Genomic DNA, 23,249 nt, shown 5'->3' with positions numbered 1-23,249 from the left:
TCTTTGTTTCACTATTCTAAGAAAATAACCTCCATATTAATATTAGGTGATGCGACAAAGCAGGTCTTCATCATGATAAGCAACACTGGGTGTCCACACCAGTACCCAAGTGGGTCTTAATTCCCGGCCAGTTTCCCTCCCTGGGCACATACCAGAGGAGTCAGCCATTTTGCAGTCTCTTCACATTTCCTCCTCTGAGCCCAATGTGGTCCTCCAGATTCTCTGTGTAGTGGCCTCTTTTGTCTGGGTAGCAGGGAAGTGTGAGTGAAGACGGCAGAAAGGAGAAATCACGTCAGGGGAGCCTGGGTTCATCGTAACCGAAAATGATGGGCCTGGGAGAGCCATTCTGGGAGGACGCAGACCTAGACAGGCCTTGGGGGGACATCTGCATGGAGGGTGAGAGGGCCCTGGTTGAGCCCAAACTGAGCCCCAAGTGTTAGTCAGCCTCAGGGTGGGGAAGGGAGCCAACTAGAGATGTTGAGCAAGTTATCCCTTAAGACTTGCTTCTCACCCACTGACCTTAGACACTTATGCCTCTCAGGTGACTTAAGGTGCCCTAATCCTGAAATGTGAGTGTTACAGTTCCCTGAAGTCCGTTTCTCCTTCAGCCCATGGATGGCCTGGGATTGCTCACTGCAGTCTCTTCCCTGAAGCTTGGGTTCTCCTAACCTGACCTCCTCTCTGTTCCCTCTCTAATGGCCTCCCTCCCTCGGGAAGTACTGAAGGGGATTGAGCCACAGGCCCTGGCTGATGATCTGGGGGACTGAAGAAGGGGGTACAGGACAGGTCAGGTCATGGCTCAAAGCCAGTTCCCCAGAGGCCAAGGAATGACCAGCAAGGTTTTTCCCATGATGCCCCACCGTGGCACCCATCTCAGCAATCCTGCCGGGACCTGGGTAGCCAGGGGCAACCAACCAGCTGAAGAAGGTCAGATGTAGGTGTACTGCCTGCAGCTGGAGGCTTGACCTTCATGATCCCACAACCACTGGACTGCAGTGGAATGAGACACCCTGTTTCTTGGAGGGATAGGAATCAGGAAGGTTCATGCCAGACATACCCTCCCACACACAACCTCCCCTACCTTGCTGGGAGGCACTCCTTACCAAGGATGCCAACGCAGTACTCCTGAATGATCACTTCATTGTGGAAGTAAAGGCTGTTACAAAAGGAAACCTTCATCCTGATGCCAGTACCTGGGGTGGCTGAGTTCCTCCATCTACCTGGTCAAGAAGGAGAAACAGGATGGACTCAAAGGACCATTTCATGTAGCTGGACTGAAGTGGCCTGCTAGCTGGAGTGAAGCATGTGTTTCCCCTTCTCAGCTGTCCTGCTTAGACACCCCTGGGCCCCAGGGGGACCGCAACCTCACCCAGGCACTGGACCACTCCCACAGATTCAGGCTCAGCAGCCTAACCTGCAAATCCATCATGTAGCTCAGCAGGACTTCATCATTTGTGACCCTGGTCCATATCTGGGCCCAAGTCTTGAGCACCATGTGTTTCTGGGGTAAGCCTGCTGGTCACAGGCACAGGGAATAGGGGTAGTTCCATGGCTGGCATGGGCATAGAGACTCCCCTTCCTCCAGGGACTTTCCCAGGGAAATGTGCCCTTCGACTTTCTGCAGTGCATAAAGGGTCCTTTGCGCTCCTATTCTCTCTTGTGAGTGCTGTGCTTTGCTTCCTGTCCCTACTCTACGTGCTCTCAGGGCAACTGCAAGCAAGCTGCCCTCCTATCTGCAGAAGTCTGGCCTCTGCTCCCTTCATTGTTCCTCATCCCCTGACTCCTGGATGACCTCCAGTGCCTACCAGCTGGCTCCCCGCAACCCTGCTCCTGGGACCTAGGCGCCCACCCCCTGCTGCCAGCCATCCCGAATTAGCAGCTGCGAAGACATGGCTCTGGCCCGGAAACCGGGGATGCCCTGTGGCTTGAGGCATTTACAAAGCCCAGCTGCAAATGATGGACCTCCAGCGAGTCCGTTGCGGGCCGGGGCATACTGGGGCCAGGGCCCGGCTCTGCCCAGTGGTCCTCCTGCTGCTGCTCCACGTCGGCCTCTTCCTTGGCCACCACTTCCACTTCTGTCGTGATGTCATTTACCAGGAGCACGCCTCTTCCCCCCAGGCCGCCCTCTCCCGCAGAGCCTCCAGACTTAACACGGTGCCCTCCTAGGGCTCCCACAGACCAAGGTCTGAGCCGCCCACCCCACGCCCCTGGCACCCCTAGACTCTGGGGGCCGCTCCTCGAGAGGCCCGGGGGCCTCGCCTAGCTGAGAATCACGGTCTCACACCTACGTGGACCCAGGATTCCTGGGGAGTCCCGCAGGGCCCACAGTCCGCCGCAGTCACCATGAGGTCCAGATTCCCTGCATGGTTAGCTGCATACAGGAGCCATAGGCAGAGGCCCTGGACTTCCAGAGCCCCGCTAGCAGGCACCGCGGCCGGTGGGTGCTGCACTCACAGCAGCCTCTGCGCCACCAAGGCAGTGAACACAGGTCATTGGATGGGCGACCACGGCAGCTTGTCTCTGGTGTGCCCAGGGCATAGGACAAGAGATCCTTTGGAATACCCCTGGGAGTGCAACATCCTAGGGAGGATGCATGGAACTTGGAGTCTGTATTTCCCTAGATCTGAAAGAGTCCTTGCGGGGTTTTGAATTCCGGTGCTGACGAATTCCACCCCAGGAAGGTGCCAGATGACTTTCCTCCCAGATGCCCCCTCGGCCCCACTCCCCGAAAACCACCGCCGCTGCCCTTGCCCCAGCAGGCAGGACTAGACCCTCTCTCTTGCCTCTGGATCTCCAATATTCAGTACCATCAGCCTAGCCTGCCTAATGAAGTGAGATGTTTCATGTGTTCCCTGTGAGTCAATGGCTTGCGGCACTCAGGATGCCAGTTAGGGTATAGGTCTTCCATGTCACAATTCCAAAGGGCTCACAGTCTGCGTGTGCCTGAACCCACCACCACCTTGCACAAGCATCTTCTCAGAGGAGGACTACCGCGGGAGGATGGAGCTGCAGGCCACCCAGGGGAGGGGCTCCTCAGGAGACGCCTACCGCTCTTGCAATAATTGGCAGATGCCCACTGCCTTCCCAATGATTGGCTGGAGGTAGGCGTGATTTCCGGGCATGGCTTCCCACTCAGGCCAGCTGCAGCGGTCTTTCCTGCAGTTGGCCCTGTGGTGTCCCGAAGCCGGATGCATACGACCTGAGTGACGGGAGACCCTGAGGCTGTTTGTCCTCCTGAAAAGCACCTGTATTTTCTGTTTCTCTGGACAGGTTGGTCTCTCGGCAAGACTAGAAAGCAAAGGTTTGGGATTTTGTCTATAAAAGCGAATGGGCTTTCTATATGTGGGCTTGAATTAAGGGAGGAGACAGTGGGGAGAGAACTCCTTAGTGCTCTAAAGAAACTCATTTTTGTTAAACTCTTTGATTTTTCTTGAAGATTCTACCTTTAACTGTCGGACATATCTGACATGTGGGCAAGTTCTGGGAGATGGTGCTAAGGCGCCATTGTTTTCATGGGCACTTTTTATTAAAGCAGTTTTTCTCTGTGAATGTCGTCATAATTCAAAATACAGGCAACATACTTAACCACTGCGATTAAAAACCCGTACTTTAGTCAGCACATGTCACATATGTGATTTGCTTGGCGGGAATTATCAAATTTTGACGTATTTTAGTGTATGTAGAAGTCTGGGGCCATAAATAACCTCGGTTTAAATTTGCCTCTGTAAAGCCTGTAATTGTCTCCTTCCTTGTATGACAGTATTTGAAACATGTTTCATGTATCTGTGGCACCTAAGTAATTTAAACCGAATAAGTGGGTGTAATGGAGTTAAATGGAGTTGGATAGACTTAAACGAAAACAAAATAAATCTGCTTGTTATTCTACTATCTTCACACACTGACTTACTTTTGTAATCCTAGCATTTTGGGAAGTGCAGGTAGGAGGATGGCTTGAGGTCAGGAGTTGGAGACCAGCCTGAATAACATAATGGGCTCCTTTACTCTATTGCCATTTTCGCACCAGGGACCGGTTGGTGGAAGACAATGTTTCCTCAGACAAGTGTTGCCCAGCGGAAGAAGGCAGTGAGATGGACACGTTTAGGGGTACGGGCTGGCGGCAGGGCCCCGAGGGGCACGTGGTGGGGCGGGGCTTCTGGTGGAAGAGGTGTGAGAGGGGGCAGGTGGGGCAGTGGGGCTGTCACCGGGACAGGGTGGGGCAGGAGGGGTGGGAGGCGGCTAGGGAGGTTTCCGGATGAAACTGTGCCACCTCAGGTCATCCTCAGGCGTTACATTCTCCACAGACAGGTATTACAGGTTATCCTCAGGCATTACATTCAGGCCACAGACAGGTATGGCGTGAAGGCCAGTGTTTGGGGATCCTTGATCTATTATATATTTCAAATCACTAAAAGATGCTAAAATACTTAAAATGATCTCCCCCTAGAACATTTTAATTAGCTTGATTTAATCTTTCATACAAATATCACGCTGGGTGTGGCGGTTCACACTTGAAATCCCATCACTTTGGTAGTCCCAGGCCAGTGGACTGCTTGAGCCCAGGAGTTGGAGACCAGTTTGGGCAATATAAGGAAAACCATGTCTATTTAAAAACAAACAAACAAACAAAAAAAACACACACACACAAAAATTGCCCAGCCAGCTACTTGGGAAGCTGAAGCGTGGGAGGATCAGTTGAGTCTGGGTGGAGGAGGCTGTAGTGAGCAGTGCACTTTAGCAACAGGAGATATACATCTCAAGAAAAAAAAATACACAAAACATCACACCATACCTCATAAATATATAGTTTTCAAATAAAATTATTTAACTGGGAGCATCCTTCATATTGCAACTTAGGAAAATTACAGTAGCTTTTCTTATCTAATTTTTATAAATTAGATTTTGTCACCTACATAATAAAATGCAGCATTTGTCCATGAAGTCAGTGCCCCTTTTGCTCTGTATGTTATGAATTTTACATATTTAAACTAAGAAATACTAAAAAGATGTTAGCCTCTGGAAGGGACTTTTACTTGAATTTCCAACACAGTATGTAATAAAATTTTATCTTTTTAGTTTGTCTATTTTTATCTAATATAGATTTTTTTTAACCATTTACAGCACAATGGTAGAAGCAGATTGTCATGGCAAGCTTTTCATTGGTGGCCTCAATAGAGAAGCCAATGAAAAGGTGCTTAAAGAAGTATTTGCAAAACATGGTCCCCTTTTGGAAGGTAACTCTTAAAGCCATGTGTTTTGTGTGTGTGCGTGTCTCTGTTTGTGTGTATTTTCGTATGTATATTTCAATATGTTATTTAAAATATGTAGGTTATGTATGTATTTTAAAGTATGTATTTTTCAAAGTTCATTGTATACATACATTAAAACGCCTTGTGATTTGTAAACTCTTATTTTGAAGTATCTATCTGATATTTGGAAAATTCTCATAGCAGCAGGTGAAGGGTAAGAATCACTTACTGCTTAGAAAGGAAAATGAGGAAAAGTAAATGTGTTATGGAGTTAGGGAACAAACTGGAATAAAATAGGCTGACTATAGGGGTGACTTAGTATTAAGAATCATAGTAGTGATGTGAAATGCAGTTATTTTTTGGTTTGATGTAACTTTCAGATGGTTAGTACCTTGGTGAGTCCATTCTATAAATATAAAATGTTTTTATGTATCTTAGTTCTTTTGATAAAAGGTCGAACCAGTAAGTCCAGAGATTTTGTGGTCATTATTTTTGAGAATGCTGCAGATGCTAAGAATGCTGCCAGAGATATGAATGGAAAGGTAAGAGTCCCTTATTAATAATACACTAATTCTGGTTTTCAGTTAACAGTATTTCTAGGTCTTTTTAGTATAACTAAAGTGTTGAAGATAGTAGAATGCCATATGGACTGAAATGCTTTAGCCATCGTCTTCTTTGTGCCATACACATGCAAGTGTATTTGGAAGGGTACTGCAATTAACATTACATAAATTAATATATGGTAACTTTTTTTCTATTTTTGTATTTCAATATGGGTGTAAATAGATTTTCAAAGGTTTCCAAGAGCATTAAAACCTAGAAGGAACCCTCCTCTAAATGAAAGGACTAAGTTAACATTTTTTAAATGCTATCAGTGGAATTACTTCCAATTCATGGAAATACTTCTATAGCATATACAAACTGTGGATAGACATCTAGACAGACTCACAGGAAGGAAAGATTCTCTCCCATTTTCTGCAAATATATTCTTGAGAAAGTACATTTAAATAAGACCTTCACATTTAAGGATGTGTTAAGTACTTGAAAATAGAAAACAATATCAGAACATTGAAGTTGGACAACAGAAGAAGTAACTGGCATTTTTTGCCCCATCCTTGCTCTTTTCTCCTAAGGATGTTTTTTTTCCTGTCACCAGAGTGATTTATGTAACATGAATACCTAATTGCTCATTTTCCCAATGTGTTTGAGAACGTGTTTTGATCAAACCAATGGTCTCTTGTCCAATTGAGTCTTAAATCTAGGGATTGTGTGTTTACTAAAGCTTTAAAATTTTATGTAATTCTATTAACTATTGAATTCCTTTACATTCTAGTCAAGATCATTCCATTCTGGGCCCTTTAGAGCTTTTCTGCTTTCTAACATTATCCAAATCTGTTTTTCTGCTTTATAACATTATCCAAATCTGTTTTTAGCTCCTGTCACTCTTTATGGTACCCCTAAAATGATTTTTTGGACTTTTTGACAATTATTCTTTCCTATGTATGTCTCAGAAATAACAATTCATCCTTCAAAAACAACTTCAATTTTCTATTTTCTTCCTCGTTGCAAATCGTAGATATTTTATACTCACTGTACCATGTATTAATCTATTGATGGTTAAATTGTCTACAGTGCATATTTAAGGCTTCCTAGTTGCTTTTATTTTTGTTGCATCTAGTAGAGTTGCTGACACATAGCAGAAAGTACATTTTTATTCACTCTTATAAATTAGTATTTTAAGCTGTGGTAGAAACCCAGAGTAAATTTGTGGTAGTTGTGGAGATAATTTTTACTTACGTATAGTAATCTATGATAATTTCCTTTTCCCCCCTAGTTTTCAAGCACAAGAGCAGGTAATTTGCATAGATTTTTTGCTTGTTTGGTTTTTTTGTTTTTTAAGACGGAGTCTCACAGTGTTGCCAGGCTGGATTGCAGTGGGACGATCTCGGCTCACTGCTACCTCCCCCTCCCGGGTTCAAGCAATTCTCTGCCTCAGCCTCCCAAGTAGCAGGGACTACAGGCACATGCCACCACGCCCAGCTAATTTTTGCAGTTTTAGTAGAGACTGGGTTTCACCCAGTTGGCCAGGATGATCCCTATCTCTTCACCTCATGATCCACCCGCCTTGGCCTCCCAAAGTGTTAGGATTACAGGCATGAGCCTCTGCGCCCAGCCAATGTTATTTCTGAATTACTTCATCTCACATATTTTATTGTGTAAACATAAATATGAAGTTATATGCACATAAATGTTAAGACGGCCAACAAAGGAGGTTCTTAGAGTTATCAGGGGCAATTAACAGTTTAAGGAATTTTGACTGACTTTGAAACACTGGGAAGGAAGCAGCCATGCGCAAATCTGGGGAAAATATTTTGGGCCCAGAAATAACAGCAGAAGTTTCAAGGTAGGAACAACTGGCAATTTGGCTGCAAGAGGTCTTGTAAGGGATTTAAGATCTTCCCCCAAATAACAAAAAACATGTAATTTTAAAATAGAGTTATTTATTATCTGAACTGTTTTCAAAAATTACTTTGGCCTATAGAAAAGATCATACTGAAAAATGTTACTGTGAAATTAATTAGCACATTTAAGCATTTCTGAGAAACAACATGAAGTACTATATTAAGAGTCATTTTTTAGGGGCACGTCTAAGGCAAAATAAGAAATGAATAAGGCAAGAAACCTTAATGAGATCAAACAAGGATCACATTTACAGAAACGTTTCTAGAGTAAATATAAAATTATAAATCATATGGGGATATTTTACGTAAGTGTTAGCAGATCAAACAAGAAACAACTCATATGACTAATGTGACTAATCATTTTGAATAAGTAACCTCATTTTTTTAAATGACACAAGTTTCCTTGGGACACTGAAACTTTTAAATCAGTGATGCGAATACAAAGATGAAGTGGATGATATATTGTAAAAAAAATACATGCCACATTCTTCCATAGAATGTGTGATGGGTTAATCTTTTTTGTTTGAGGTGTTTTTTTTTTTAATAATTGAGGAGTTTTCAAGGAATTTGAATAATAGAATTTGTGTTTGATCCCTTAATGGAAGGCGTGTGTTCAGTTAATGTCTCAAATTTGGTATTGTGAAAGACGTGTTCATTTTAGGAGGAAAAAAATTTGCTTTGGGAGAAAATATCTAGAATTGAACTATAGTTGATGTAGAAATGTTTGTAAAATGTGCTTAGGTTTAATCTTGCCAACGTTATTGATAGTACTCTTAATACTTTTAGTCTTTGGATGGAAAAGAAATAAAAGTAGAACAAGCAAAGAAACCATCTTTTCCAAGTGGTGGTAGGCGGAGACCACCACCTTCTTCAAGAAACAGAAGCCCTTCAGGAAGTCTGAGATCTGCAAGAGGAAGTAGTGGAGGAACAAGACCGTGGCTGCCCTCACATGAAGGACACTTGGGTAATGTTCTAAAATATAAAGATGGAACCATAGGACTGAAAGAAAATAAGTTTGAAGATATCAAAATTTCCCAATTTTATTTATTTTGGGAAATTTACTCATTGGTAAGAAGTAATTTTCTTATTGATAAGAAAATTAACTTATTGATAAGAAGCAAAATTATTTCTAAGTACTAAAGGTGTATTATAAGAATGATTGCACTAATATCTAAAATTTGTTTTAAAATTGTAATAAGTTTGCATTGAAATAACACAAATTTCAAACTGAATTGAGTTTATGAATGCTGATTGCCTGTACTCAACAGGTTTTCTGAAGAACTCATTTATATTAACTATACTTCATAGAGTTTTCTACTTTGGGGCCCAGAACTTCATATCAGTTGTATTATCAAAATACAATGGAATATTTAAAACTTTCCAACAGGAAAAAAAGTAATTCAGTACTTAGGATTGATTTTCCAATATTTGTTTTTTTTTGTGTATACATGTGCAAACATGTATGCAAATCTATTGCTTTGTAATTTTCATATGGAGAGTTTGTACATTGGCCTGCCATAAAGCATTTTCAATTTAAGAAACGTAGAACTTTAATTTCTAAAAAAAGTCTATGACTCTGGAAAGGACAAAACACCACTGCTTCACAGATATGTATGTATCTTTCTTGCTGGAAGGTGAGTCACTGAAAATGGTATTTATGAGTGATTTACACAGTAGAAATGAGGGGTCAATTTCTACATAAAAAAGAAAAACAAACTATGTATTTAAAAATATATATATATATTGGATGGGGGTGGGCGAGGTGGGTCACGCCTGTCATCTCAGCACTTGGGGAGTATGGGGTGGGTGGACCAGGAGGTCAGGAGTTCCAGACCAGCCTGGCAACCATGGTGCAAACTGTCTGTCCTAAAAATACAAAAAATTAGCTTGGCATGGTGGCACATACTTCTAATCTTAGCTACTCGGGAGGCTGAGGCAGGAGAATCACTGGAACCTGGGAGGGAGAAGCTGCAGTGAGCTGACATAATGCCATTGTACTCCCACCTGGGCAATAGGGCAAGAGTCCATCTCAATCAATCAATCAATCAATCAACCTATTGGTTAACATATTATCTATTAACCAACCTTCAAAAATCGATCTTTAATTTTGTGTTTTAATGACCAGATGTGTAATTAATTGGAGATGTGTTTTTAAAGTTGAAATTGCAGTGTTTGCTGCATTTTACGATGCATAGCTTCATGGTAATTTTGTCTCCACTGATCTTGAGGGTGAGATTCAATAATACTCTGCCATGTATGAGAATGTGCGTATTCTAACCTGTAACACCACCTAGTAATTGGCATATATCTACAGATTTGTAGATATATAAATATTTTTATATTATTTAATAAGCAATTCTTAAAGATTATTAAAATTTAGCATAGTCTAATCTGAAAATTAGTGTTTCACAAGGAAATTGTAAGAATTCTATACTATGTTAACAAATTTTAGAGATAATATATTTTCCTGATGTGTCACCTTTTGATATTGCAAATATTTGAGTTTCTTTGAATGGAATTTAGTTTATCTTTTTGATATGCTTTGAAAATTTTTCCTCATAATAGAATGATATAAACAGTCATTTATCATTTTTTAATATTTTTTCTTTATGTATATTATACTTAGATATTTTACTGATAGATTTCTGCTCCCTGTTCACTCCCCATTTTTCCCACATCTCTCTCTCACACCAATATATTATAATTCTTGAGTTTCCTTCTAGATTTTCTAAACAGACTTTTATTGCTTGAATTGTACTAATTTCATATAGAAATGTTAATTTTATTAGTTTAGACAAATGTGAATTTGTAACATTATAATATGTAGAAAAACAACAAAACTTAGCCATTCAAGAAACAGTGATGCTAGTTAACTAAAATGATTTTGTTTGAAATACAGATGATGGTGGATACGCTCTTGATCTCAACACGAGTTCTTCTAGGGGAGCCATTCCAATTAAAAGAGGTCCATCTTCACGAAGTGGAGGTCCTCCTCCTAAAACATCTGCTCCTTCTGCTATGGCAAGAAGCAATAGTTGGATGGGAGGCCAAGGTAAATGCTACCTGATAAAAGACCATATTTTTTGTATGACTAAAAATGAGCTATTTTAACTGGATTCTTAAATTTAAGTTCATTGAACAAAACAGAAGTGACACATCATTGGGCATAATTACTGATCAATAGCTTTTATTATACTTTCTATCTCACTAGGTACACTCAGATTTATGTTGAAGAAATACTCGAGCTTCTCACTGCAGTTGAAAGAAGTGATTAGAGTGAGGCCAACATTCCTCTTAATCCTGTGTTTGCTAGATAATTCCCCTTAATTTTTCTAAAAGTCCCTAGCAGTATTCTTTGATGATAGGCTTCTTCTTCTAATGAATTCTTCCATTTCCTAGGTCCCCTGGTAGTGGTCCCCTGGCAAGCCAATTGAAAAATTGCTTGTTCAGTTTCTTTATTGGGTTGGAGTCTTGCTCTTACCAGGTCAGAGTGCATTGGTGAAATGATGGCTTACTACAGCCTCAAAATCCTGGGCTCAAACAATTATCCTGTTTCAGCCTCCTGAGTTGCTGCAACTACAGGCATGCACCACCACACCTAGCTAATTTTTTTTTCCTGTATTTTTGTAGACAGAGGATGTCACTACATTGTCAAAACTGACATAAAAGCCAGCGGCTCAAGCAGTCCAGCTGTCTCTGCCTTCCACACTGACTCGCACTGTGAGCTGCTGAGCCTGACCATCCAGCTTCTGAGACCTCAATAATGTTTATGTGCAAGGCATTCTTACTGCTTCTATGAAGATTCAAAAGAACTACAAGAGCATTTAGCAGAAAAGGAGTCACTGGGCTTACCTATTATTTAAAAATAAAATCAAGTCTTGAAAGGTAGACATGAAGGAGTCCAATATTCTTAAATTAAGTGGATATCATAGAAGTGCAGAGATGTGAAATATAAGGTCATGTAAATCAATAATTAAGATTTTACCGGGATGTTTAAACATTAACACAAGATCCTTAGCGTAAGACTGGAAATTATTTGAGGAGAGAATTTAGAACTAAGCAACCTGAGGTGAGCGGTAGGATTGAATAGAAGTAATATTTTTGAGAAGGAGAATTGTTAAGATTGCAGACAGAACAGAAGAAAGCAAGACAGTAAATAAAAGTTCTTAGCAAAGAAGTTTAGGCAGAACAAATTAAAATTCTTACTTAGTCCTCCACCCCAATATGGAGGAAATTGAAAACTGCTGTTTTCAATTTTACATTTCATATGTAGAGTATCGGTGAAATTAGATATTTATTGACTTCAGCATACATAAGCCAACACATTTCCATTGGAAAATTAGCCAGTGAACATATCATAGGTGAAAGACTGACCTCTAAGGAACAGCACATAAAGAGTATATTAAAGGAGAACATTTTCTATTTTGAAATAGCAACAATGTCGTAATGACCCCTTTAACAGGATTGCTTATTGCAGTAAAAGTAAATCTTGGCCATCATTAGAAAGTTTTCACTAGTATATTTCAATTTGTCAACATTTAAGGTAGAGCCAACCACTTAGAGATAAAGAAGACCTTTTATGTAAAAATTTAGCATCCAATCATTCAAAGGTAGCATCATTTGTGCGTGTGAGGTGGATTGAACAACATAGGAAAATTTACCTTCTTCAGCTGAGAAGGGACAATGGATGTAAACTTAAAAATCTGTGAAGAGTTTGGTGCTTTTACATGTCTTCCCTGTATCATTGGTAGTCATCAGTAATTCATATGAAAGGAAAAACAATAACTAACTAGTTATTTACCATTACAGATGAACTTTTACCTAAGAATTAATGTCTGTCTTCAGCTCTGTTAGAAGAACTGGCCTTGCAGTAGCCATGGGATTATCCAAAGCCATAAGAAATATTCACAGTGTCATGACTTTCTAGTAATTTAGGGAATGAAAAATGGAGTCATAGTGGAGTCATAGAAGAAATAATTTTAAAAAGTTGTTTGAGAGAAGAGAAAATAGTATTTCGGATTTGCTGTTCTTTCCCTGTTTCATCATTTTAATATTAAAGGTCCCATATCACGTGGAAGAGAGAATTATGGAGGTCCTCCATGCAGAGAGCCAATCTCTTCCTGGAGAAATGACCGTATGTCACCAAGAGATGATGGTTATGCAATTAAGGAAAGGTAAAGAAAATATTTTTTAGAAGTTGATTTTTTTTGTTATGGTGATGAAATTCACATAATAAAATTAAATATTATAAGGTAAACAGGTGGCATTAAATACATCCTGTGTTGTGCAGCAGCTAACTCCATCAAGTTCCAAAACATTTTCATGACTACAAACTAAAACTCCAGCTACCAGTTAAGCAGTCCCTTTCATTTTCTTCCTTCCCTCAGCTACTGGCAAACATCAGTCTTTGCTCTGCCTCTGAACTTACATGTTGTGGGCATTTAATGTTAATGGGCTTATACACTACATGACTTTTTGTATCTGTCTCCTTTCCTTTTGTATCATGTCCCGAAGTTTCATTTACATCATAGCACTTAAATCCTTCCACAAGCGGTTAACCCATTATTTTATTTGGGTTGTTTCTACCACAGTATTTCTATGCTCCAGTATTTGTTTGAGTACACTTATTCAATTCTGGGTGTATATATAAATGGAATTGCTTGGTTCTGTAATAATTATGTTTGTTTTCTTGAGGAAACACCACATGTCTCCATAGCAGCTGCATCATTTTCCCTTCCAACTAGCATTGTATCAAGGTTCCAATTTATCTTCACCCTCTCAAACACTTGCTATTTCCTGCTTTTTATTGCCATTCTAGTGTGTGTGGGAAGTATGGTATCTCACTTTGGATTTGAAATGCTTTTTCTGAATCACCGATTATGAGTATCTGTTCCATGTGCTTTTTGGGCATTTGCCTATTTTATTTGGAGAAATATCTGTTTAGATGTTTGGCCTTTTAATTTTGTTTAAGTTGTAAGTTAGTTATGTTTTGGATACTAGAAGTTGAAAATTTAATATTTGTTGTTTAAACTTATGCCCACAGAAATCATCCACTTTCCCGAGAATCTAGGGATTATGCTCCACTGTCTAGAGACTATGCATACCATGATTATGGTCATTCTAGTTGGGATGAACATTTCTCTAGAGGATATAGGTATTACAACATTTCCTGGATTTGTCAAATAGAATTCTTAAATGGTTCATTCTGACATTAAGAATTTTTTTTTTCAATTTAGTGATTGTGATGGCTGTGGTGAGGTGATGTTAGAGATCATTCTGAACGTCCAAGTGGAAGTTCTTATAGAGATGCATTTCAGAGATAGGGTAAGGGTCCGGGATGGATTTGTAAATTATAGAATTGTGTTTAATAGACCAGATCGTTATTTTAATGAAATTCTAAGGAAAATTACGAGGGACAAATATAACATGTCTAAATATTGAGTATTCTTAACAGAAGAAAGCATAGGGAATGATATGAAGGTGAGAACTTCAGTTCACGTTCAGAAAATGTGACTCAACTTTTACTTTAGAATTAAATTTGTTAAGCTTCAAAATAACTTCTCTTACACTTCTTATTGATAAAACCTTCTGATTATTGCAGGCATAATTAATATCCTGACAAAGACAGAGGAAAGTAGATATTTCCAAATAGTACTTTAACTTAATCATGCTTTAGTGATAGCAGTAATAATGTTTAAATATAGTCCAACATATTATTTTATCAACCCTGCAGGGTCCCCTGCAGGGACCTCTCATGGTGCACCATCTGCAGGAGTGCCTCTGTTGTCTTATGGTGGAAGCAGCCACCATGATTATAGCAATAAATGAGATAGATATGGCATAAGTCGGGAGAGTTACTCAAGGAGCTGTGGTGATTTTTATTCCCGTGATTGTGGGCACGTTGACAGAAAAGACCAAAGCAATCTACCTTCTCTGGATAGGGTACACCCTGCTCCTTGTGAAACATGTGGTAGCTCAAGATATTTGTCATCTACAGGAGATGGTGGGGAAGGTGGATCTGACAAAAGAGGCTGAAGCAGATATGAAAGCAAGTATTCAAATAATAGTTATTGCATACTAAACCTTGTTTGCAAATCGAAAATTGACCTGTTATTTCTGCATTGTTACCTGCGTCTTACTAAAAGAAACATGTATGTTTTGTGGAGAGAGGTAGATACTAACTTCCTCCATGAATTTTTTGAGGTATTCAAAGGAATTTTATTTCCAATAAATAAAGGGAATTTTATTTCCAAGTAATTTCATACTAGCTAATGCTATTTGAAAACTATCTGTTTAGATGTAATATCTACATTAAAATTTTCAGAATAAAATTTTACATGTAATGCAAAATGCCTAATGTTTTTGCTCAGCTGCACATGCTTAAAAGCAAATTCAATAAGAGAGTAAATTGCATTGTTTGTTGAACATTTTCCTTTATTTCTTTGAACATAAATAGATACAAAATTAGGCATATGTTATGTCTCCCTTGCAAGCTGCACAAGTTTTCTAAATAGGCTGTTTCTCTTTAAAAACTTACAAGCTTACAATGTTTGAGTAGTCTTCAGAAAGACTACAAGACTCTCTGCCTCACCATATGTTTATCCTTTAGAGGAATAGTACAGGTCAAAGGAAATAATTAGATGTGGTTGATATTAAAATTTAAGACATCCAGAACATTCTACTTGAAGCATTCTGTGACTGAAGAGGGATAATGCTAATGAAAACTTTTTTTTACCTAAATGAAAAGTGAACCAGCTAAGTTTCTCAAGTGCATAGCATAATGAAATTAAATTTTCCTAGTTTAAATGGTGGAAAGTAAGTGTTTGGTCTTGGGAGGTAGTCATGTTATTTTTTTCTTAAAAGTTTTGACAATGGTTGTTGTAAGTCATGGTGTAGTAATAAGTTGTTACAAATAGGAATAATCTAGAGTGGTTGGAATTTTATCAGTTTTTTGTTTGTTTGTTTGTTTGTTTTGAGATGGGATGTAGCTTTGTCACCCAAGCAGGGGTGCAGTGGCTCCATCTTGGCTTACTACAACCTCCACCTTCTGGGTCCAATCTATTGTCCTGCCTCAGCATCTTGAGTAACTGGTATTAGATAAGTGTGCACTACAGCTGGCTAATTTTTTGTATTTTTAGTATAGACAGCGTTCCACCACACTTGCCAGCCTGTTCTTAAAATCCTGATCCACCCTCCTCAGACTGCCAAAGTTCTAGGATTACAGGCATGAGCCACCACTCTCAGCCTATCAGACTTAATTGGTTATATGAATGGAAGCACTTTCAACCTCATACTTTTGGGAAGTGAAGTGTATAAAACAAAACAGCAGCATAACATTTCAGACAGGGGATTGCTTAAAGGTTTAATAAATCATCAAATGGTAAAAATAAAAAGATTTGGACTTAAATAACTAAACCAATTAATTTTTCTGATTATACATTGTACAACCTAAAGAAATGAAATACATGAAGTTCCAGAAGTTTTACAATCCATAATTCTTACAATTAACAGACTAATCTGCAATGAGGAAATATTTTCTTGATAAAATTTTGACAACATCTTCAATTTCTATAGGTAAGGGTGCAAATAATTTTAAAGGGAGAAGTTACCAACTTGGATTTTCAAGTGAGTTATTTGTGTTATGAAGTTGTGTTTTCATTCACCTACAATGTAGGATTGTGAGGATGAAGTGAAAAAATAAAATTCCCTAGTCTTATGTATCTTACTGCCCAGGTGTGACGGCTCAGGTTTTTAATTCCAGCACTTTGAGGCCAAGGCTTGCTGATCACTTTAGGTCGGGAGTTCCAGACCAGCCTGACCAATACCATGAAACCCCATCTCTAGCAAAAATATGAAAATTTGCTGGGCATGGTGGTGCACACCTGTAGTATGTTACAGTTAATTGGGGGGCTCAGGCAGGAGAATTGTTTGAACCTGGGAGCCTGAGGCTGCAGTGAGCCAATATTGCACTATGTACTCTAGCCTGGGTGACAGAGCGAGACTCCAAATCAAAAATAATTATATAAATCTACAAATATGTAAATAATAAATAAGGTATCCTTCATTTCAAGCATTTATTCTTTCTTTTTGCTTTTTTAGACACAGGGTCTCCCTCTGTTGTCCAGCCTGGACTGCAGTGGCACCGTCAAGGCTCACTGCAGCCTCGAACTCCTGGGTTCAAATGCACAAGCCTTCCATTTCAGCCTCCCAAGTAGTTGGGATTACAGACACACATCACTGTGCCCAACTTTTGTGTTTGTGTGTGTGTGGTAGGGACAATGCTTTGGATATATTGTTCAGGCTGGTCTCAATCTCCCAGACCGAAATAATCCTCCTTCCCTGGCTTCCCAAAGTGTTGTGATTATAGCCGTGAGCCACTGAGTCTGGCATATCTTTTCTCATTATGAGCGACATTCCACCTCACTGAGTCTGGCGTATCTTTTCTTGGTATCAGCGACATTCCACCTTCGCTCTATTAATTATTTTGAGATGTACAATAAATCATTATTAAGTGTAGTCATCCTGTGCCACTGAACACTAGATATTATTCCTTCTAAGCAAGTATAATTTAACCCACCCCCATCCCCTCTTTGATCCCTCGCTTACCAGTTCACATTACTTGTATCAAAATATCACATGTATGCCAAAAGTATCTACAACTGTTAGGTACAAATTTTCATTCCCTTCCTCCTTCCCTCCCTTCCTTTCTTCCTTCCTGTCTTTCTTTCTTTTTGTCTCTGTATCTTTTTCTCTCACTGATTTTTTTTTTTTTAAGAAAGAATCCTGCCCTGTCACCTAGGCTGGAGTGCAGTGGCGTGATCTCAGCTCACTGCTCCCTCCTTATCACGGGTTCAAGCAATTGTCCAGTCACACCCTCCTAAGCAACTGCAACTGCAGTCATATGACACCAATCCTGTGTGTGTGTGTGTGTGTATGTGTGTGTGTGTGTGTATTTCTATTTTCAGTAGAGACCAGGTTTCACAATATTTGCTCGGGCTGGTCTTGAACTCTTGTCCTCTAGTGATCCACCCACCTCATCCTCTGAGAATGCTGGGATCCAGGCGTGAGCCACAATGCCCACCCAGTTTTATGCATTTGTCTCTTCAGTAATCTCTCCTATTTTATTATTTTATTCTCTTTTTATTTCTGAGACAGAGTCTCGCTGTGCTGCCCAGGCTGGAGCACAGTGGTGTGATCTCACTTTACTGCAAACTCCATCACCAGGATTCAATGGATTCTCCTGCATCAGCCTTCCAAGTAGCTGGGATAATATCCATGGGCCACCAAGCTTGGCTAGCTTTGGTATGATAGTAGACATGGCATCTTGCCATGTCTAATTTCATATCTATTTTAAAGCTCAGTTTATAAGCAATACTGACTTCCTGGAATGTTTTCTGTTTACAAAACTATAGTACTATTATTTAGCCTCCTCAGATAAAATATGATAACACACAAAACATACACACACAGACAAAGACACAGTCAGTGATCAAAAAATCAGTGTAGGCCACGACCTAAAATGGAAGGTGAACTGCTGCAGTTGCCTAGAATTAAAGCAGACCAGAGTTGACCCATACCAGGCTGAGAGATGTGAACAGAGGCTTTCCAACAACTCTATCAGATACATGTTAGATTATTCTCCAGCCATAGCGAAGGGACATTAAAGATCTGTTGTGCTTAGAAGAGTCTCGATGATTTGACTTTTCCAGGGTATTAGCATTCATGATGTTGGCCTTTACAGCTCTCTGCAATGAAGTCAGTAGACGACACAGTTTTTCTAGGAGTCTAAAGTGCTTTTCAGAATTATCTAAAACTTAGTGGCTTAAAACCATAATTATAATTTACTAACTGTCAGTCTCTGCAATCGCCCTCAGTCTCTCAGCCAAATGAATGTGGTTCAGGGGCACTCAGGAGGATGCAATCTAGTGATGGCCAAAGATGGGGACATTGGCGGGTGTCTTCTCATCTCCCTGGTGCCATGGCTAGCGTGACTCAAATAGCAGGGGCTGGACTGCTGAGATGCTCAGACATCTTGTTCTGTTTCTTTGAGTCTCTCCATTGGATGTCCCTTCTGCATAGTGTTATCAGGGTGTTAGACTGCGTGATGTACTGGTCGGGGGCTCCTAAGGGGTTTGTCCCCATGAGAGCAGGAGACCTAGGCAGAGCCGTGTCACCGTCTCTAAACTAGGCCAGAGGTGGTCCAGTATCCAGAAACTGCTTGCAGTGTTTTCTATACATTAGAAGCAAGTACTGTGTTCAGTTCCATCAGGAATATTTTCAAATGGGTTTGAGAAGAATTTCAAAGTGTGTTTCAGACCACTACAGTGGCCATGCCTAATAATTCCTTATTTTTACAAGTGCTGGATGGGTTTTTCCCAAAATAATGCTTTCTTGGGGGGTGTGGGGTGGTGGAGACAAAGCTTTGGTCTTGTGACCCAGGCTGTAGTGCAGTGGCGTGATCTTGGCTCACTGCAACCACCGCCTCTTGGGTTCAACCGATTCTCCTGCCTCAGCCTCCCAAATAGCTAGGATTACAGGAACCTGCCACCATGCCCAGCTAATTTTCGAATATTTAGTAGAGGTGGGGTTTCACCATGTTGACCCCGCTGGTCTTGAACTTCTGACGTCTGGTAATCCACCAGCCTTGGCCTCCGAAAGTGTGGGGATTGCAGGCGTGAAACACCCCGTCCGGCCTTCAAATTATATTTTCATACCCACTCACTTCCACAATTTTTTGGACCTATCTGCGTGTTCTCCTCGGAGGCGGGGGGACGGAAACAGTATCAGCGTTCTTGAAAAATTTATGAAAGAGAGAATGACAATACTATACTAGGTTTAACCTATTCACAATACTGTATTTACTGAATAAAAACATTGCGTTTAAAATTCTACTATTGACTAAATAAATAAAATACACTCTTCCATTCACTCTAAAATGTGTGTACATGAAGAGTATACAAGAAGGGTTCTAATACAGAAACAAATAAATGAGGCTGGGCATGGTGGCTCACGCTGTAAGCCTGGCAGTTTGGCAGGCAAAAGTGGGTGGATCAGTTGAGGTGAGGAGTCGGAGACCAGCCTGGCAAATATGGTGAAACCCAGTCTTGACTAAAAATACAAAAATTAGCTGCACATGGTGGCATGCACCAGTAATCCCAACTCCTCAGAAGGCCGAGGCAGGGGAATTGCTTGAAGCTGGGAGGCGGAGGTTGAGGTTGAGCCGAGATCCTGCCACTTCACTCCAGCCTGGGTGACAGAGCAGTACTCCTCAAAACACACACAGACACCCCAAAACAACTAAAAAATGAAAATAAAAATTTTGTACTCACAGTTCAACTCGCATATCTAACGGAAAACAGAAAGTACATTAAAACAAAGTTTCCACAAAAGGCAAATAAAACAAATGAATCACCTTGCACATAAAATTAAAATAATAAACTGAAGAGAACTATACGGAAAAAAATTCAAAATTTACAAGTAAGTACTCTACAAGAAGCTGAAAGTCACTCAAAACTTTTCTGGATTCCATGTCTCTACAGTGCAAACATGATCGTAAAATTTGCTGGGGGCAGAACCATCAAAATGTATCTTACAACTCAATAAACACTTCAAGTCTCACATAAGAATTGTAATGGAAAAGGGACGCGTCTGCAGTATTTCTACACAAATCTGAACAAACACTATTTCTTTGTACACATTGTTTCACTGTTCCAAGAAAATAACTTCCATATTAATATTAGGGGATGTGACAAAGCAGGTCTTCATCATGATAAGTAACACTGGGTGTCCACACCACTACTCAGGTGGGCCTTAATTCCCAGCCAGGTTCCCTCCCTGGACACACAATGAAGGGCTCATCCATTTTGCAATCTCTTCACATTTCCTCCCCTGTGAGCCCAGTGTGGTTCTCCAGATTCCCTGTGTAGCGGCCTCTCTTGTCTGGTGGGGCAGGGTGGGGCAGGGAAGTGTGGGTGATGATGGCAGAGGGCAGAAAGCATCTCAGGGAAGCCTGGGATCATTGTAACAAAAAATGATGGGCGTGGGACAGCCCATCAGGGAAGACATAGAGAGGGGCCTTGGGAGGATATCTGCGTGGAGGGTGAGAGGGCCCTGGTTGAGCCCAAACTGAGCCCCAAGTGGTAGCCGGCCTCAGGCCTCAGCCGGTGAGGGATGATGAGACAGCTACCACTTGAGCCTTGCTTCTCACCCACTGACCTTAGACACTTATTCCTCTTAGGCGGCTGAAGGTGCCCCAATCCTAAAATGTGGGTGTTACAGTTCTTTGATGGCCATTTCTCCGCCAGCCCATGGATGGCGTGGGATTGCTCACTGCAGTCACCTCCCTGAGGCTTGGTTTCTCCATGTGGGGCACAACTCCAGGAATCAACCGCCTCTCAGTCCCCAGCCCCAGACTGCTCACCTGGCCTCCTCTCTGTTCACTCTCTAATGGCCTCCCTCCCTGGAGAAGTACTGCAGGGGATTGAGCTACAGGCTCTGGCTGATGATCTAGGGGACTGCAGAAGTGGGTACAGGTTAGTTCAGGTCATGGCTCAAAGCCAGTTCCCCAGAGGCCAAGGAATGACCAGCAAGATCCTTTCCCATGATGCCCTACCTGGCGCTCACCTCAGCAATCCTGCCAGAACCTGGGCAGTCATGGTCAGCCAACCAGCTGAAGAAGGTCAGGTAGGAGCTGTACGGCCTGCAGCTGGAGGCTTGACCTTCATGATCCCACAACCACTAGACTGCAGTGGAATGAGACATCCCGTATCCTGCAGAGAGAGGAGTCAGGAAGGTTCATGCCAGACCTACCCTCCCACACACCAGCTCCCCTACCATGCTGGGAGGCGCTCCTTACCGAGGATGCCAAGGCAGTACTCCTGAATGATCACTTCATTGTGGAAGTAGAGACTGTGATAAAAGGAAAACTTCATCCTGCTGCCGGTACCCGGAAGAGTTGCTTTCCTCCCCTTACCTGGCCAAGAAGGAGAAAGAGGACGTACTCAAAGGAGCATTTCATGTAGCTGGGGTGAGGTGACCTGTTAGCTGGGGTGAAGCATGTGTTTCTCCTTCCCAACTCTCTCATTGAGACACCCCCGGGTCCCAGGGGTACCTCAACCTGACCCAGACACCAGACCCCTCCCGAAGACTCAGGCTCCTTAGCCCGACCTGCAAATCCATCACGTACGTAGCTTAGCAGGACTTCATCATCATTTGTGATCCCGGCCAACATCTCGGTGTGCCGCACAATCTGCCTCTGGTCAAGGAGCCGCCGGATGATTGGGTGGGCGTGCAAGGAAACACCCTGCAACTTTGCAAGAGCACGGAGAGTGTGGGGCAGGGCACCTTCCCTTCCAGGTCCTCTGTCTCTGTCTGGCGTGGAGGGCACCATCAGAGCTGTGGTGGTCTTGGTGGTGGGTGGAGGCAGGCCCAGACAACCTGCTCTGACCAGGGGCTGGCACTGAAGAAGTGGGCAGGGGGTTGGGGGCGGGGTGTTGTTGTGTGAGGCGACTACTTGCTCGGCGTTTCTGAGCTGCAGGAGGCCCTCCTGTGCTGGGTGCTGGACAGGCTCTGCTGCTGTCTGGGTGTGCCGTCTCTCCTTCTCCTGGTCTCCCTGAGGGGTGCACGTGTCCACCCCAGGCAACCGCTGTGGGTAGAAGTAGCTACGGGGCTGTGCCTGGCTCTCCCCGTGGAGCTCGAGTGGTTTCAAGGGAGCTTATATATACTCAGGGCCTAAACATCTTTGGGTGCAGCGCTGGCAGAGGGAAGAAATTGTGTCTGGGGAGATAGTGCCTGCCTTGCATAGGACAGCAGCCCCGTGCACAGTGACACCGAGTCTTGAGCACCTTGTGTTTCTGGGGTAAGCTTGCTGGACACAGGCAAGGGGAGCAGGGAAGTTCCGTGGCTGGCATGGGCATGCAGACTCCCCTTCCTCCAGGGACTTTCCCGGTGAATCGTATCCTTCAACTTTCTGCTGTTATGATGGGTCCTTGGCGCTGCTATTCTCCCTGGTGAGTGCTGTGCTTGGCTTCCTGTCCCTACCACATGCCCTCAGGGCACATGCAATTAAGCTGCCCTCCTATCCGCATGAGCCTGTTCTCAGTTCCCCTTGTTGTCCCCCATGCCCTGAATCCTGGCTGACCGCCAGTGCCTACCACCTTGTTTCCCCCCACCTCCGCTCCCGGGAGCTCCGCGCCCATCCCCTGCTGCCAACCATCCCGAATTGGCAGCTGCAAGGATATGGCTCTGGCCCAGAAGCCGGGGATGCCCTGTGGCCTGGGACATTCACGTAGCCGAGCTCCAAGTGAAGGACGTCCAGCGAGTCTGTTGCTGGCCGGGGCGTACTGGGGCCAGGGCCAGGCTGTGCCTGCAGGTCCTCCTGCTGTGGCTCCACATTGGCCTTCCTCCTTGGCCACCACCTCCATCTCTGCAATGATGTCATCCCCCACTAGCATGCCTCTCCCCGCAGGGTTGTCTTCCTGCTCTGTGCACAGACCATCCTCTCCTGCACAGCCTCCAGCCTTAACATGGTGCCCTCCTTGAG

The 23,249-nt window shown here is 42.3% G+C and overlaps 1 pseudogene; it reads left to right on the top strand.

Moving 5' to 3' along the window:
* Positions 3,034-15,158, top strand: RBMY2AP (RNA binding motif protein Y-linked family 2 member A, pseudogene; annotated as a pseudogene).

This window comes from Homo sapiens, chromosome Y, assembly GCF_000001405.40.
Source record: "Homo sapiens chromosome Y, GRCh38.p14 Primary Assembly".
Lineage (NCBI taxonomy): Eukaryota > Metazoa > Chordata > Mammalia > Primates > Hominidae > Homo > Homo sapiens.
The sequence above is the reverse complement of the archived record's forward strand: the minus strand, read 5'-3'. Positions and strand labels throughout refer to the sequence as shown.